This window comes from Homo sapiens, chromosome 1, assembly GCF_000001405.40.
Source record: "Homo sapiens chromosome 1, GRCh38.p14 Primary Assembly".
Lineage (NCBI taxonomy): Eukaryota > Metazoa > Chordata > Mammalia > Primates > Hominidae > Homo > Homo sapiens.
In genome coordinates this window covers 67685135-67699195 of record NC_000001.11, presented here as the reverse complement: position 1 = coordinate 67699195, position 14061 = coordinate 67685135, and the positions used below count along the sequence as shown (strand labels likewise).

Below are 14061 nucleotides of genomic sequence, written 5' to 3'. Positions count from 1 at the left end.
TTATTTATTTTTGAGACCGAGTCTCCCTCTGTCGCCCAAGCTGGAATGCAGTGGTGTGATCTCGGCTCACTGCAACCTCCCCCTCCCAAATTCAAGCAATTCTCCTGCCTCAGCCTCCTAAGTAGCTGGGATTACAGGCATGTGCCACCACGCCCGGCTAATTTTTTTGTATTTTTAGTAGAGACAGGGTTTCGCCATGTTAGTGAGACTGGTCTCAATCCCTTAACCTCAGGATATCCACCCACCTTGGCCTCCCAAAGTGCTGGGATTACAGGTGTGAGTCACTGCCCCGGCCCCACGTTACTACTTGTGATCTCTAGAGCCAACCACCTCCCACCCCTCCACACATACACCCTGCTTAGTGATAGGAGGGCATTATCCGCTAAATGACCTTAAATATGGTCCTAACAGAAGACATTCGCCAACTATGTGACATCACAAGGGCACTATGGATCCATAAATTTGTGTACTAGGGCAAGCCTAAAGCAGTCACTCCCTGAACAAATGTGGGCAGTGCTACCTCCTCTAAGCCAGGCACTGACGGACTTGTTCATTAATGTCCCCGACCTTAAGTAAAGGTTGGCATGTGAGATTTAGGTAATACACATGTTAATTTTTTAACATTTTACTAATTGTGTAGTTTTATATGTATTAGGAAAACCAGAACTAGCACAAGTTGTGATAGAAAGTTTCCTTCTAAAATAGATTTAAATAAAAAGTAAGCCAATTTGTATTTTTTAAAATATAAGTATGTAATAGCACGCCTTTGACTTGGATATGGAAAAAATTGTCATGAAGCCCTACAATACAAGCAAGTAAAAAGACAAGCATCCCCTTTGGGAATCAGCTCCAAGAATCACCCATGTAGGCCGGGCACGGTGGCTCATGCCTGTAATCCCAGCACTCTGGGAGGCCGAGGTGAGCGGATCACGAGGTCAGCAGATCAAGACCATCCTGGCTAACACGGTGAAACCCCATCTCTATTAAAAAATACAGAAAATTAGCCGGGCGTGGTGGCGGGCACCTGTAGTCCCAGCTACTCGGGAGGGTGAGGCAGGAGAATGGCGCGAACCTGGAGGCGGGGCTTGCAGTGAGCCGAGATTGCACCACTGCACTCCAGCCTGGCGACGGAGTGAGACTCTGTCTCAAGAAAAAAAAAAAATCACCCATGTAAAGCAGACAGGTTCACATTTCTACTTTTAACCTTGAAAAATTTTCCCATGGCCAATGCACTAGAAGTGCTTTGTTCTAAATAAACATTTTAGATCCGACCTTGGTGAGGTATGTACGTTTCAACACTGGCCATGCAACATCTGTCAACATTTGTAGACATCTGTGCAAGGCAATGAGGAACACTGAACTCCAGACACTAGGCTGGGCATTGTGCATGTGTTCTCCCATTGAAGCCTCAAAACAACTCTTTAAAGGAAAGTAGATGTGATTTAACCCCATCTTACAGATGAGGAAACTGAGGCTCAGAGAAGTTAAGAAAATTGTGCTAGATCCAACAACATAAAAGGGTGGGTCCTAAGAACATACACCCAGGCAGATTGTACAGCCCATGGACTATCTTAATATTTGTAGTATGGTTTGAATAAGGGAAAACAAACAAACAGTAACTTTGGTAATTGTTAGATTAAGTAAAAGGTAAGGTAAACAAGTAAGTCCTTTACTAATCATGAGTGTAATACCCTGGGCCTTAAGAATAAACAGTGCTATATTTCAGGCATTTACTATGACTAGGTACTGTTCTTAGCATTTTGCATCTGTTTATTTTTTTTTTGGTGGGGGTGTGGTGGTTGTTTTTTGTTTTTGTTTTTGTTTTGAGACAGAGTCTTGCTCTGTTGCCCAGCCTGGAGTGCAGTGGTAAGATCTGGGCTCACTGCAACCTCCGCATCCTAGGTTCAAGAGATTCTTCTCCCTCAGCCCCCCAAGTAGCTAGGATTACAGGCATGCACCACCATGCCCAGCTAATTTTTGTATTTTTTGTAGAGACAGGGTTTCACCATGTTGGCCAGGCTGGTCTCGAATTCCTGACCTCAGGTGATCCACCCGCCTTGGTCTCCCAAAGTGCTGGGATTACAGGCATGAGCCACCGCACCTGGCCTGCATCTGTTAATTCATTTAATTCTCACAACAAATCCAGGAAACAGCTACTCCTATTATTCCTACTTTACATATGAGGAAATAGAAGCCTGGAGAGATCCAAAAGTATATTGGATATGCTTTCAGAAAACCATTTTTCAGGGTAGCCAGTGTGACGTAAGAGAAAGAATACGTATCTTGGAATCAGGAAATGCATGTTCTGGACTGATTACTACTCATTTACTGTGCAACCTTAGGACACTTATGATCTCTGATTCTACTTCCCCATTCACTTTTAAAAAAAAGATTTAGGCTAGGTAATTTTTAACATTTCCTCTAGCTTTAAATTGTATATAAATCTGTAAATCTGAGAGGAGATCAACCCTCTTGCCATCTCCACCCCAAGTCATTGTACATTTTCCTCCTTGAATTGAAAATCAGGAGAAGAACCAAAGTCTAGCGTATGGAGCCAGAGGAGGGCACGTGGGTTTGTTGTGTATAATTATAGGTATTTAAAAGATATTTAAAGAATCACCTCCTGATACTTCAGCTACTGGCTCATCAACAGGTCTATAAAGAATTTTAAGGAAAAATGAATTATAGAAAAGCATTTTGAATATTGACAGCCTACCACTAATAGAATTAAGGAGCAAAGTTCTTTAACAAACTTAAAGTGTCAGTAGCACCTTATGAGTTCATAAAACATAACTACAAAAAGAAAAATAGCCCACTCAAACATTAAATATGAATGACAGTGCGTTTGGTTTATAGAAACAGAACAAAGAGAAATTTATTTATTTGTTGAGCTCCTACTAGCACTGTGGTAGGTATGTCCTAGGATAAACCCAGAAAACACAAGGATAGTGGGAGTGGGAGTAACAGGTGCAGGGGCAGTAGGAAATAAACAGATAAATTGCTATGCAATATGGTAAATGCTATCATAAGAAATTGTTCTGTCTGAATGAGTCAGAAAAGATTTCATAGAAGAGATAATATATTAGTTGAACTTTGAAGAACAAGTAGGAGTTTGTTGGTAAAGAATAGGGAAAGGATATTCTCAGCAGTGAAAAATAGTGTATGCAAAAGCCCCAAGATCTAAGGAAGCCTGGAGTGTTAGAGCAACAGAGATCTTTGCAACGGAAGTATGGGAATGAGAATGTGGACAAGGCTGGGAAGGAAAGTTGGGTCAAATAATCAAAGGCCAAGAGTTTGTACTGAATTATATGGGGGGAAGGGTAGTTGTTCAGAGATTTTTTTTTTTTTTTTTTGAGACGGAGTCTCACTCTGTCGCCCAGGCTGGAGTGCAGTAGCGGGATCTCGGCTCACTGCAAGCTCCGCCTCCCGGGTTCACGCCATTCTCCTGCCTCAGCCTCCCGAGTAGCTGGGACTACAGGCGCCCGCCACCACACCGGGCTAATTTTTTGTATTTTTAGTAGAGACGGGGTTTCACCGTGTTAGCCGGGATGGTCTCGATCTCCTGACCTCGTGATCCGCCCGCCTCGGCCTCCCAAAGTGCTGGGATTACAGGCATGAACCACCGTGCCCAGCCGGTAAGAGATTTTTAAGCATGGTCTTGACATGAAGATAATTAGAATGAACAAGGAAAATAAACTACTGAAGAAAAACTGGAGGTCGTGTTTCTAATTTCTGTGGGGAGTAGGGAGTGGAGGGTGGTATTCACTATTCTTTTATTAGTTCTTCAACTCCTTTCCATTCCAAACCCTTATCACTCTCCTCCAACCCCACCCCCTATTTACATCCTCTGTGATCTGTTTCTGTCTACCTCCTCAGCCTGCCTTTCTCCACTCCCTTCCTTAAATACTTAATCCCCTAACAAACACCACAGAGCCCCACACATGCCACACCCCTCACCCCAATGAGCTCCTAAATGCTCTTCAAGAGTCACATCAAGCATCACCTTCTCCTGGAAGGTTTCCTGACCACCCCCTACACACACACACACACACACACACACACACACACACACAGACACACACACACACATTGTGCATACCCATGCTTGCCGTGACACCACTCTGGCTTGAAAATTATGTGTGTCTGTCAGCTTCCTATAGTTCCTATAGCAAACTGCATGTAGCAACTGTGTCACAATCATCTTTATGGAGCAAGCTCTAGCACAGTACTTGATACACGGTACTTATGTTCTCACAACCTTGATTTTGAACAGAAACTGTTCTGATAGCCTAAATGACAGATAAAGAACTAAATTAAGTTAATGGAAATGGAGAGGGGAAACTAGATTAGTGAAAATTAACATAATTTAATTGGATGGTGTCTTGCTGAATTCAGTTATGTTGGGCTATGTAGTTTACTGGGTGGTTTTTTTTTTTTACTTATATAACTAATTTGCAAACAGAACAATTAAATATTAATGGAATATAAACAGGCATAGAAAATCACCAGTTCATGGAAGATGCAATTATTATTAGCTTACATATATTGACTGCTTCTAGGAACTGAGCTAGGTTCTTTCTATGCATTGTTTCCTTTCCTTTTCACCATAACCCGATGATATAAGCCTTGTTTATTTCCCCAGTTTTACAGGAGAAATAACTGAGGCTTCGAGAGTTACACTAACTTTCCCAAGTTCCAGCTAGGATCCAGGATTCAAGCTCAAGTCTTTCTGCCTCTAAAACCCAATGTCTTTTTTCTTCATTTTTGTTATTCTTTTCTTTCTTACAAAAATAGGGTCTTGCTATGTTGCCCAAGCTGATCTCAAACTCCTAGCCTCAAACAAGCCTCCCAGCTAGGCCTCCCAAAGTGCTGGTATTACAGGCTGGTATTAAGACAATGGCCTGGAGTGGCGGCCACTGTCTTAACTGCTGTACTCTTGTTCTTATCTTTTGCTAGCCCTGTCCTTCACAGTTATATAAAGAAGCAAAATCAAATCAGAAGACCTCCAGATGACCCATTTCTTGCTGAGTGCTTATTTCAATGATGGTAAGATGATTACAATATGGTGATATAATCATGTGTTAAGTGATGATACTAAGAAAGTTTGCTGCTTTTCTGTATAAATTCTTTCTCAGACAATTCTAGAAAAGATATTAGCATAAAAGCATGCAGGGACACAAAGATCAACTTTTCAATGATGCTTAGAACTTTCCCAGTTCTAAGATGAAAGAAGACAATTCTTAGAATTCTCCCTTGAGTGTTTTTTGTCTCCTTTAGATTTCCCAAGGCTCTGCCCCACTTATTGGATAAGTAAAAGATTCGATTCAATTAGTTTCATCCTTCCCCAGTCTAATCTCTGCTGTCTGGTTGGCCTCTTTGAGAGACTGACCTAGCATCAAGAGGACTGAATTCACCGTAAAATTCTGATTCTTCCACTTCCTTGTCATGGGACCTTGGAGGTGTCTCTTGATTGCTCTGAGCCTCAGTTGCTTTAGCAGAGAATCAAATGAATTAATGAATGTGAAAATCCATGAAAGGCAGAAAGTACTAGTGGTTGTAAGAAAAATGGAAGTGGCCAGCCACGGTGGCTCACGCCTGTAATCCCAGCACTTTGGGAGGCCGAGGCAGGAGGATCACCAGGTCAGGAGTTCAAGACCAGCCTGGCCAACATGATGAAACCCTGTCTCTACCAAAATATAAAACATTAGCCGGGTGTGGTGGCATGCACCTGTAATCTCAGCTACTCGGGAGGCTGAGGCAGGAGAATTGCTTGAACCTGGGAGGCAGAGGTTGCAGTGAGCCAAAATTGTGCCACTGCACTCCAGCCTGGGCAACACAGTGAGACTCGGTCTCAAAAAACAAACAAACAAACAAACAAAGAAAAAAGAAAAAATGAAAACTGGAAGCCCCACTTACTTCTCAGCACCTACTGTGTGCCTGACACTGAGCAGTACTCATAGTATAACAATAACAGATTTTAATCATGCTTGTCAGCTTCTCCCTCGTCTTCAAAGTGCCTAGCACCATGTCTAGCACATAACAGGTGTGTTGATCTGTCGGTTCAAGGAGAGGTAAGAACCATTCTGTTTGCAGACTCTCCCACCTTTTGTGTAGTGATCACCTGAGTTAACTTGAAAATTATCTGTCTCCAGGTAGCAAATGGTTCTGGTACACCTCTTCATGGGAATCCCTGCAATTTTTGCAGAGAAATATGCATCCCTTTTGGTGGGCTAACATCAAGGGAAACTGGAAACTGACCATGTAGAAGCTTCTCCCTACCTAATCCCTGAGATTTGTAAAGAGAGCTCCGAGAGAGCATTCATTATTTCTCAAACTTCCCTTATAAGAATTACCTGAATTACTTGTTAAAAACATATACATATATATATAATTTTTTCTTTTTCTGGGGCTTGAATCAGGAAAAATAAATTCTGAGCCTTATTCCAGCCCCACTTAATCTAAAGCTTCTGGGAATGGCTCTTGAAAGTTATATTTTTAACAAGCACCTCAGGGCCTTATTTCATCCAAACAGTTTGAGAAATTCTGATAGTGTAAACACTTCATTTTACACAGGAAGATTCTAAGCCCCAGTCTGAGTCGGTGGGGTGGGGGCGAAGGGTGGATCTCAGATGCCTAATAGGATGAGGGAGGGAAGCTTACATGAGTCCAGCAAACTAGAGTTATAACAGGGAGGGGTGAGGTCTGTGGCAAACTGGAAATCCAAGTCCAAAAGGGAGGGGCCTCCTATTGGCTCCAGCGAATTGCCACCACGCAGTATGGACCTACGGTTGCCAGTATAGCACATTTTCAAGAAACAATAAAAGTCTGGATTTTGCTAAGAGATTTTCCCATTTTTAAATGTTTACAACTGATCTTTAAAAATTGTTATATATTGTGTGATCCAAATTTCTCTTGGCTACCAGTTTCCACCCCCACATTAGGACTTTGTAAGCTATAGCATCATCTTTTCATTGTCTGTCTCTTGGTGGTGACAGCATCTGTCTCTTCTCTTAGTTTTACCAATTAATTTTAATGGCTTTCTATCACCTAGTAGAAAAGAAGCTTGGCCTGCCAGAAAATCATGCTCTGGTTTCTACCATCTTTCCCACTCCATCACCCATCACTGGAGGACATGTTTGCATCCTGGTCTTGCCACTTACAGTATGATTCTGGGCAACTTAAGATCTCTGTGTGTCAGTATTTTCACCTTCAAAATGGGGCTAATAATAGTACCTACTCCCACAGGGTTGTTGAGAGTGCTAATGAGTTCCTGTTGATAAAATGCTTAGATCAGTGCTCAGGATGTAGTAAATCTTGTATGAGTGTTGCTGTCACCCAAAAGCTAGCTCCAAACATGCCTTCAGTGTGTACCTTCCTGAGCTATAGTTCCTCCTCCTGGAGTAAATGCCCTTCACATTCACCTGGCAGATCTCTTCATCTTTCAGGTCTCACTGAACCTGGCAAACATTCCCTGGCCCCAGGAACACTTAGGTCTTGAATATACCTCATTATCACTTGTCACCTAGTATTACAGGTATCAGGTATCCCTACTAAATTGTACATATCCTTAAAGGTGGCTGCTTTTTCACCTTTGTGGCCTTGGGACCTAACATAGTGCCAGGAAAATGATAGGCATTCAATAAGCAGCATGATTGAAATGAACAAGCTTATCTTTTTTTTAATGTGCTTAATGATTTCCTTATAGATTGTCAACTTAAGGAGAAATGCTCTAATAGGCTACATCTTTGTATTCTTCATAGCACCTAGCAAAATTATATTCAATATTCAATCAATCGATCACATTTTTGTGCTGTTTGCAAAATACGATGCTAGCTTATGAACAAAGAGTTTACAACCTTTTTCTCCATTCCATTCCTATATGCCTTCTGGAGATTTCTATCCTTTGAACTTCCAGAACAGTTCTCTGGGCCTTTCTTACGTTGCTGGTAATTTTCTGTTTTGTATTTATGTAGTGATACGAAGTCCTTGAGGCCAGAGTGTGTGTCTGATTTTTTTTTTTTTTTTTTTTGGTAGACTTCAATATAGCCAGCATAGTCCCTTGTCCACAGTAAGCACTCACTTAATATTTCTTGGTGGTTTTCATGAATACGACCTTTTCACAGAGGTTCTTATGTTTACCAAAGTATTGTTAAAAAGAAAAAAAGTATTCACTTCTTTGAGGGATACTTACTTGGTGTCAAATCATGCCACTGAGTTTTGTTCATTTGAAGAGAACTTATCTCCCAAATTTCAGTCTTTTACCACATATCAAAGAATAAAATTCTACCTATATAAATGAAAATTAAGCAATTATTTCACAAGGGCTCCAGTAAGGCATCTCAAAACATGCTTTGGAAATATTTCAATTGACAGTATACAAATAATTCTTTCCTAAAAAATGACCCTTTTTTCTTTATTTGGGAACTAAGGTATGTATTATAGGAGATTAGCTACTTTCATGGGTCCTTTCATTATAAAAGTTTAACTTACCAAGATCCTAGGTTAAGTGTGGAAAGGAGGAAGCAATGCTATTTATGACACTGAGGTGAAGTTGCCAGTGGAAAAATTAGGTATTTTCCACTTTTCAACATTCAATACACCTTAGGTAGATGAGGGGATTTCTGTTCTTGTTGTAACGTAGCTTGCAATAAGTACATTTAATGGTTTTTAAGGCAACGACTAAAGAATATTTGCATCAATTAGAGATAGAAGCCATCCAGGTAATTTTATATTTGTTTAAAATTAACTGTTTCATGATTGGGTTTTTCAATGCTGTGTTAACTTTATGTTATGCTCAATCAGGAAAGAAAAACAAGAGTTTAAAATTTTTGAAGAAACCAAATGGCATTACAGTAATTGTTGAGATTTTCCTCAAAACAATCTGAAGAATGTATAAGTACTATTACATATCTCTAAGCATTATGAATTTAGAATAAAGATCAAAAATTCTTTTTGAAAAACATAGTTATATAGATGTACATGTCATAACACAGATCTCTCTGATGCCTTAAGTTTTCCTATTGCTATCACCTGGGTTTTAGAAACAGCCACACTCCATTGAGCACCTATCATGTGCCAGGTAGTTTGTATTCATTATTTCTAATCATTCATTTATTCAATAAATATTAATTCAGCACCTACTGCTTGCTGGCACTTGTGTCCACTACTGGGCTACAATAATGAACCAGACATTACCTGCCTTGAGGGAGGTTGCAGAGTTGTAGGAGAGGCCACAAGTCTGCAAGATAGGTAATCTTATCTCCATTTTACATGAGTAAAACAGGATGAAGAAGGACTAATCAAGGCTAGCTGCTACTGTGCTCGTTCCACTAAGCAAACCAGCTTTATCCACTGTGTGTCTCCACTTTAATTCATTCATCTCTGCAAGAGGGTTCTTACCAAATCGTTGTGAAAAAGGGCTGAAAAAAACCTTACTTCAATGGGAAGGCAAAACACCTTGCTATTTAAAACTCACTGCTCTCAATCTTTTGGTAATGTAAGAAACAAATATTAAATACCAGTTATGTTTTGGAGTGGGCACTGGATTTTAAAAAGATACAAGAAGCCTAAATAAGCCTAAAAACCCACATTTCTAGCAGATGTAGAAAAAGTCACTTGTGAAAAGATACAAGAAGCCTAAACAAGGCCTAAAACCCCACAATTCTAGCAGATGTGGGAAAAGAGAGTCATTTGCAAGGTGAAGGGCTCATGGAGCTATGTATTCATAATATATGCAGAAACTTGGAGCTTTTTGTTGCTATTAGTGGGTTTTCCCTACCCTTTCTTCTGATTGTATGTAGTCATGACTAGGATGAAAGACAGATGGCAGGGGAGCCATAAGGGGGACGGTTTGAGAAATAGGATAAGAAAATTCCTGTGGACAAAAGCAAGGCTAGGCCTTGCCTCCATAAGCATTTTTGCTTTCTTTGGTCTATGCCTACAAGATTGTTGGAGTTAATTATCAAGTGACTGTTCTAACTAAAAATGATTGTTCTACTGAAGACTTTTCTTTTGCTTTTCTTCTCTGCCATCTATTCCATCTGATAGAATTTAAGCAGACCCCTCAGAACCATAGAAATGTTCAGCTGGAAAGCACAAAGCTTTAGGAAGAGACTAGGGGCAGCAAAAAACCTTGCCTGGCCACTTCCCTGTTTGCTCTGTAAAAATGGTTCTGCAAAATGCACAACCTTGGATTCTTAGTCACTTCCTAACTGGCCTTGTCACCTACAGCTGCTCATCCCAATAATCATCTTTCACAGACCCCGGTGTTACTTTCCTAGAACACTGATCATGCCACTTCCTTCAGGGGCTCCGCTATCTGCCTGAAGTTTACAGAAGGAAGCCCAAATGCATAAGGGTAACACAGAATGCCTTCACAGCCTGGGCCTAATCCCCACCTTCCTTTTCAGCCCCGCTGCTCCCTTATCTTTCTACACCAGAGGCACACACACAATCACTCTGTTTTTACTGACCTGGTTGTGGTCTTTCAGGCCTCCACACCTTTGCACAAACTAATGCAGCTGCTAGCAATATCCCTTTGCCCTCTGTAACTAGGGAAATAAAACTCACTAAGACCAACATAAAATGATCTCTCTTCAGTAAAAACTGGTAGGTAACTTTAGTCACTCTGTCCTCTCTGCCTCCTCAACATTTTGTGTATAATCTTATTACGGCGCTAATATCATTTATCTTTAATTATTCAAATTTTGCAAGCTGAATCTCTAACCATCCCTTTTTCCTGACAACTCCAACTCCTTTAAATCACCTGCTTTCTGATTATAGACCTGGTATACAGCAAAGCGTCAGTAAAATGTGTTTAATAAAGTACAAGTTAAAAGAAACAAGAGCACACAATAAGAAATGATGCAATTATTCATACCAGTTTATTGTAGGTATTGTGTTTCAAAAAATTTATAGCATAAATAACTTTTCATGTCATAAAATAACTTAGTAGAATTTATAATAAAACTTTGAGAATTTAATATCTCATCAAAATACAATAAAATATGGTTTTCAAATATGATTAACCCTTTCGGCTTTTCTTTTACTTGAGGGCATATAAACCAAAAATACCCAAACTATGGCTGCACACTTAAACTTTAACATATTTGGTTTATTTTAATGTAACTCAACCATTCTAAATTAATACATAGTTTTCCTTCCTGCATGGTTCTTTGTAATTTTTGTTCCTTTTGACTTATTTTTCTGTTTCAACACAGCTTCCTTCTTCATTTTCACCTCTTTCCATCTGCAAAGTCATCTATCTCCGGGCCCCCAGAACATGTAGTTGAACTCACTCAGCCCCTTGGCATCAGTTTCTGTAATCCTTGCATCAGTGTAGGGAGTAACTGCTTGAGTAACTACAAAGGTATTTCAAAAACTTCAGTGCAATTTGGTTCAGTTATTTTCATTCAGATGCCATCACCGTTCAGGGAGATTAATCACTGGAACCCATTGATCCATGTAGCGACTTTCCCGGCAAAAACAAATAAGTTGACTTAAGGCAGGATCCTTCCATTGAGATGAATGTGGATTCTGGAAACAAATTTATAAAAATAAACTTATTTTAAAAACCAGTATATTCTAGTAATTATACTTTTGAGGAGAAAACACTTGAACATTCTATATTTTGGCTATGTGACATGGAGACAAATTAGAAGCACAAAAAAATTAAAGTTTCTTCAAGGTAGTTGGGTTCCCTGCAAAAGCGTTAAGGGTAATTACCTATTAAACTACACATTGCAAAGTCTGAACCCATGCAACCCAAGCTGAACCACATACATATGTTTGCATATCTGTTCAGTTTTGCATGAGAGTATCATTCACCGGTTTGCTCTACCAAACTTGTTACCCTGACCTGAGTGAAACAGTTTTGAGAAAGATTTCCATGCTGTGTGCACAATGAGATGAGAGCTGCACAGCAGTTAACTGGAATTGCCATCAACCATACTCCAAGAGACAGAATAGTACTTTTAAGGAGTAGCAAAATAATCGGGCTGTCACTTGACTAGACCAGTCAAAAAAGAGCAAAATTTAGAAGACAAAAGTAGCACATTTACCCCTGAAAACATAACTTCCCTACCTACCAAAGGTTTTTATCAGGAAAAAAAAAAAGAGCCATTAAAAAAATGCAAGATTGCAGAGAAAAAAAATTCCACTCTATCCTCTTAATGTATTTCTAGGGAATTAACAAGGTTTGTCTCCTACACAATTTCTATTTTTAGCTCTGACTGGCAGAGAATGAAGCTGACTCCTTAATGAGGGGTGAGCCAGGAATTCATTTGGCTTTATCTAATCTGCCCTGCTAAAGGAATTAGTCACGGGAGGCAGTGCAGATGTAGGTAGGGAGTAGCTGGGCTGACTGCTGACTCACAGGGATCTCTTCCGCTGCTGGCAGTCCCCAGCATGCTTAGACATGTTCTGTACCACAGAAAATCCTGGTGATGAAACTAGCACATCTCGGCTGAAAGTCCAGCCACACTCTAGTCGGACAAAGGCAGCCACCCTCCTGACCCCCACCTACCACAGATCCACAATCAGGCAACCCAGCCCTGACTCCCGTCCTTCCGGGGCTCTACCCTGCAGGCTGCAGTCCCCCAGTCCCTTACCGTCACCAGCACGCAGTGCAGGTCCGGGGGCTGCTCGGCGCCCTCGCTCGCCGCGGGGCCAGCGTCGGTCTCCAAGAGCAGGAGCTCCGCCAGCCGGCCCGGGTTGCTGACGCGCAGGATGTTGATGTCGTTCTCGCAGCAAAACGCCTGGATCAGGGTGAAGTGGATCTGCAGAGCCACATCTCTGTCGTCGTCCTCGTCCGCCGCCAGCAGGCACAACACCACGTTATCGGGGTCGCTGGGGGCAGCGGGCGGGGCCAGTGAGCGCAGAAGCGCGGGCGCCCTCAACCACTGCCCGGGTCCCTGGGGGTCGCCGCCCGGCCCGCTCGCCCCCTCCCTTCCGAGACAGGCAGAAAAGCGACAGGAAGTGGCGCGGCCGGGCGAGGGGCGCCCAGCCAAGGCGACCTCCCGGGCTGGGGCGGGAAGGGGTGCCATGGGGGACGCGCAAGGGCCCCACTTACACGTTGAGCAGCTTGGCCGCTTCGTACACCCCGACAGTGATCGTGCGCTGACTCAGGGCTTTGCTGAGCACTTCCTCCAGGGCATCCCCCACCTTATCCATCCTACACGCGGGCAAGGGCGAGGGGTCCCGTCAGCCCCGGTGCCCTCGGGGCCATCGCCGCCCCCCTCGTCCGGTACCACGCCCCTCCCTCTCGAATGCAAGCACCACCGCGCACCTGGGCTCTACGAAAACCCGGCGCTCCCGCGGCCCCGTCACCCCCCATGACCCCTGCACGCCCAAGGACCGGGCGTCCCGTGAGAAGTCCCGAGAGTGCCCCTGCCACAGGCTGCCAGCCACGGGAGCCGCACGGGCAGCGACGGCCACTGCTGCCCTTTGCAAAGGCCCCGGCGGGGCTCGTTCGGGTTGGGGGGCACGCTCTTTCAGTCCGTGGGAGCTCCACGGAGAGTCCCGAGGGAGCAAGGGCGGGAGTTGCCCTGTGCAAACTTTTTAGCTTCCTCCCCTGCAAGCCTTCCACAGCCCGGCTGCACCGGGGAGCGCGGGGTAGGTAAGAGAAGTTCGGGCCGGAAGAGTCCGCAGGCCGACTCACCTTTCGGTCTTCTGCTCTCCAGCCGAGAATTCCTCCAAAGTCATATTGCAAACTGCAGGTCGCCCAGGGAGAGAGCGCGGCGTGCGGGCTGCTCCTGCCACGGCTAGCGCGCGGGCGCCTGCTTTCTGCACTCACTCACAGGCGCCGCTCCGGCAGCTCAGGCCCTGGCGCTCTCCGGCCGCCCCTCGCCCGCCCGGGCTCCTCCTCCTGTGCCAGCCGCCGCAGCTCCGGCCACCCCTCCCGCCTTGCTTGCTCGCTCGCTCCCCGGACCTCGCCTCGCCACGGGCCGCACGACACTAATTGGGCCGCTGCCTCCCAGCCACTGCCTACCAGCCACTGGAGGACAAAGGGCCCCGCTCTCCGGGGTTATCCTGCCAACCCTCAGCCAACCACCTTCCGCCTCA

General features: G+C 43.4%; 1 protein-coding gene across 3 annotated transcripts, besides 9 other annotated features; it reads right to left on the bottom strand.

Moving 5' to 3' along the window:
* Positions 9276 to 9570: a silencer, noted in NCBI's record as "tiled region #15496; HepG2 Repressive non-DNase unmatched - State 18:Pol2". NCBI's record gives its function as "represses a minimal TATA promoter and a strong SV40 promoter by Sharpr-MPRA in HepG2 cells {active_cell/tissue: HepG2}" and the evidence as "EXISTENCE:reporter gene assay evidence [ECO:0000049][PMID:27701403]".
* Positions 10862 to 13995, bottom strand: GADD45A (growth arrest and DNA damage inducible alpha). Of its 3 annotated transcripts, NM_001924.4 has the most exons (4): positions 13658 to 13995; positions 13070 to 13171; positions 12609 to 12846; positions 10862 to 11535 (listed from the first exon to the last, which is right to left on the bottom strand). In NM_001924.4, the coding sequence occupies exons 1-4, from the start codon at positions 13699 to 13701 to the stop codon at positions 11422 to 11424; spliced, it is 498 nt and encodes a 165-aa protein (NP_001915.1). In that variant the 5' UTR covers positions 13702 to 13995; the 3' UTR covers positions 10862 to 11421. The 3 variants fall into 3 exon arrangements, with proteins under 3 accessions (NP_001915.1, NP_001186671.1, NP_001186670.1); NM_001199742.2 differs by lacking the exon at positions 12609 to 12846; NM_001199741.2 differs by lacking the exon at positions 13070 to 13171.
* Positions 11825 to 13024: an enhancer, noted in NCBI's record as "P300/CBP strongly-dependent group 1 enhancer chr1:68151855-68153054 (GRCh37/hg19 assembly coordinates)". NCBI's record gives its function as "activates an origin of replication core promoter dependent on BRD2, BRD4, P300/CBP, MED14 and CDK7 cofactors, with strong dependence on P300/CBP, by STARR-seq in HCT116 cells {active_cell/tissue: HCT116}" and the evidence as "EXISTENCE:reporter gene assay evidence [ECO:0000049][PMID:35650434]".
* Positions 11825 to 13061: a biological region, named in NCBI's record as "P300/CBP strongly-dependent group 1 enhancer GRCh37_chr1:68151855-68153054".
* Positions 12065 to 12566: an enhancer, noted in NCBI's record as "H3K27ac hESC enhancer chr1:68152313-68152814 (GRCh37/hg19 assembly coordinates)". NCBI's record gives its function as "activates a minimal SCP1, AML or CMV promoter by ChIP-STARR-seq in naive H9 embryonic stem cells {active_cell/tissue: H9 hESC(naive)}" and the evidence as "EXISTENCE:reporter gene assay evidence [ECO:0000049][PMID:30033119]".
* Positions 12302 to 12741: an enhancer, noted in NCBI's record as "active region_1182". NCBI's record gives its function as "activates an Ori minimal core promoter by ATAC-STARR-seq in GM12878 lymphoblastoid cells {active_cell/tissue: GM12878}" and the evidence as "EXISTENCE:reporter gene assay evidence [ECO:0000049][PMID:35858748]".
* Positions 12772 to 12821: an enhancer, noted in NCBI's record as "active region_1181". NCBI's record gives its function as "activates an Ori minimal core promoter by ATAC-STARR-seq in GM12878 lymphoblastoid cells {active_cell/tissue: GM12878}" and the evidence as "EXISTENCE:reporter gene assay evidence [ECO:0000049][PMID:35858748]".
* Positions 12922 to 13061: a silencer, noted in NCBI's record as "silent region_985". NCBI's record gives its function as "represses an Ori minimal core promoter by ATAC-STARR-seq in GM12878 lymphoblastoid cells {active_cell/tissue: GM12878}" and the evidence as "EXISTENCE:reporter gene assay evidence [ECO:0000049][PMID:35858748]".
* Positions 13132 to 13261: a silencer, noted in NCBI's record as "silent region_984". NCBI's record gives its function as "represses an Ori minimal core promoter by ATAC-STARR-seq in GM12878 lymphoblastoid cells {active_cell/tissue: GM12878}" and the evidence as "EXISTENCE:reporter gene assay evidence [ECO:0000049][PMID:35858748]".
* Positions 13732 to 13891: a silencer, noted in NCBI's record as "silent region_983". NCBI's record gives its function as "represses an Ori minimal core promoter by ATAC-STARR-seq in GM12878 lymphoblastoid cells {active_cell/tissue: GM12878}" and the evidence as "EXISTENCE:reporter gene assay evidence [ECO:0000049][PMID:35858748]".

What these genes read in the sequence shown, in the direction of transcription:
- GADD45A (NM_001924.4), bottom strand. Translation starts at nt 13,701, where the DNA reads ATGACTTTGGAGGAATTCTCGGCTGGAGAGCAGAAGACCGAAAG. An exon ending in GGAGAGCAGAAGACCGAAAG is followed by an intron (nt 13,172 to 13,657) that starts GTGAGTCGGCCT and finishes GCCCGCGTGTAG; the next exon opens with GATGGATAAGGTGGGGGATG. An exon ending in GCGGCCAAGCTGCTCAACGT is followed by an intron (nt 12,847 to 13,069) that starts GTAAGTGGGGCC and finishes CGCTGCCCCCAG; the next exon opens with CGACCCCGATAACGTGGTGT.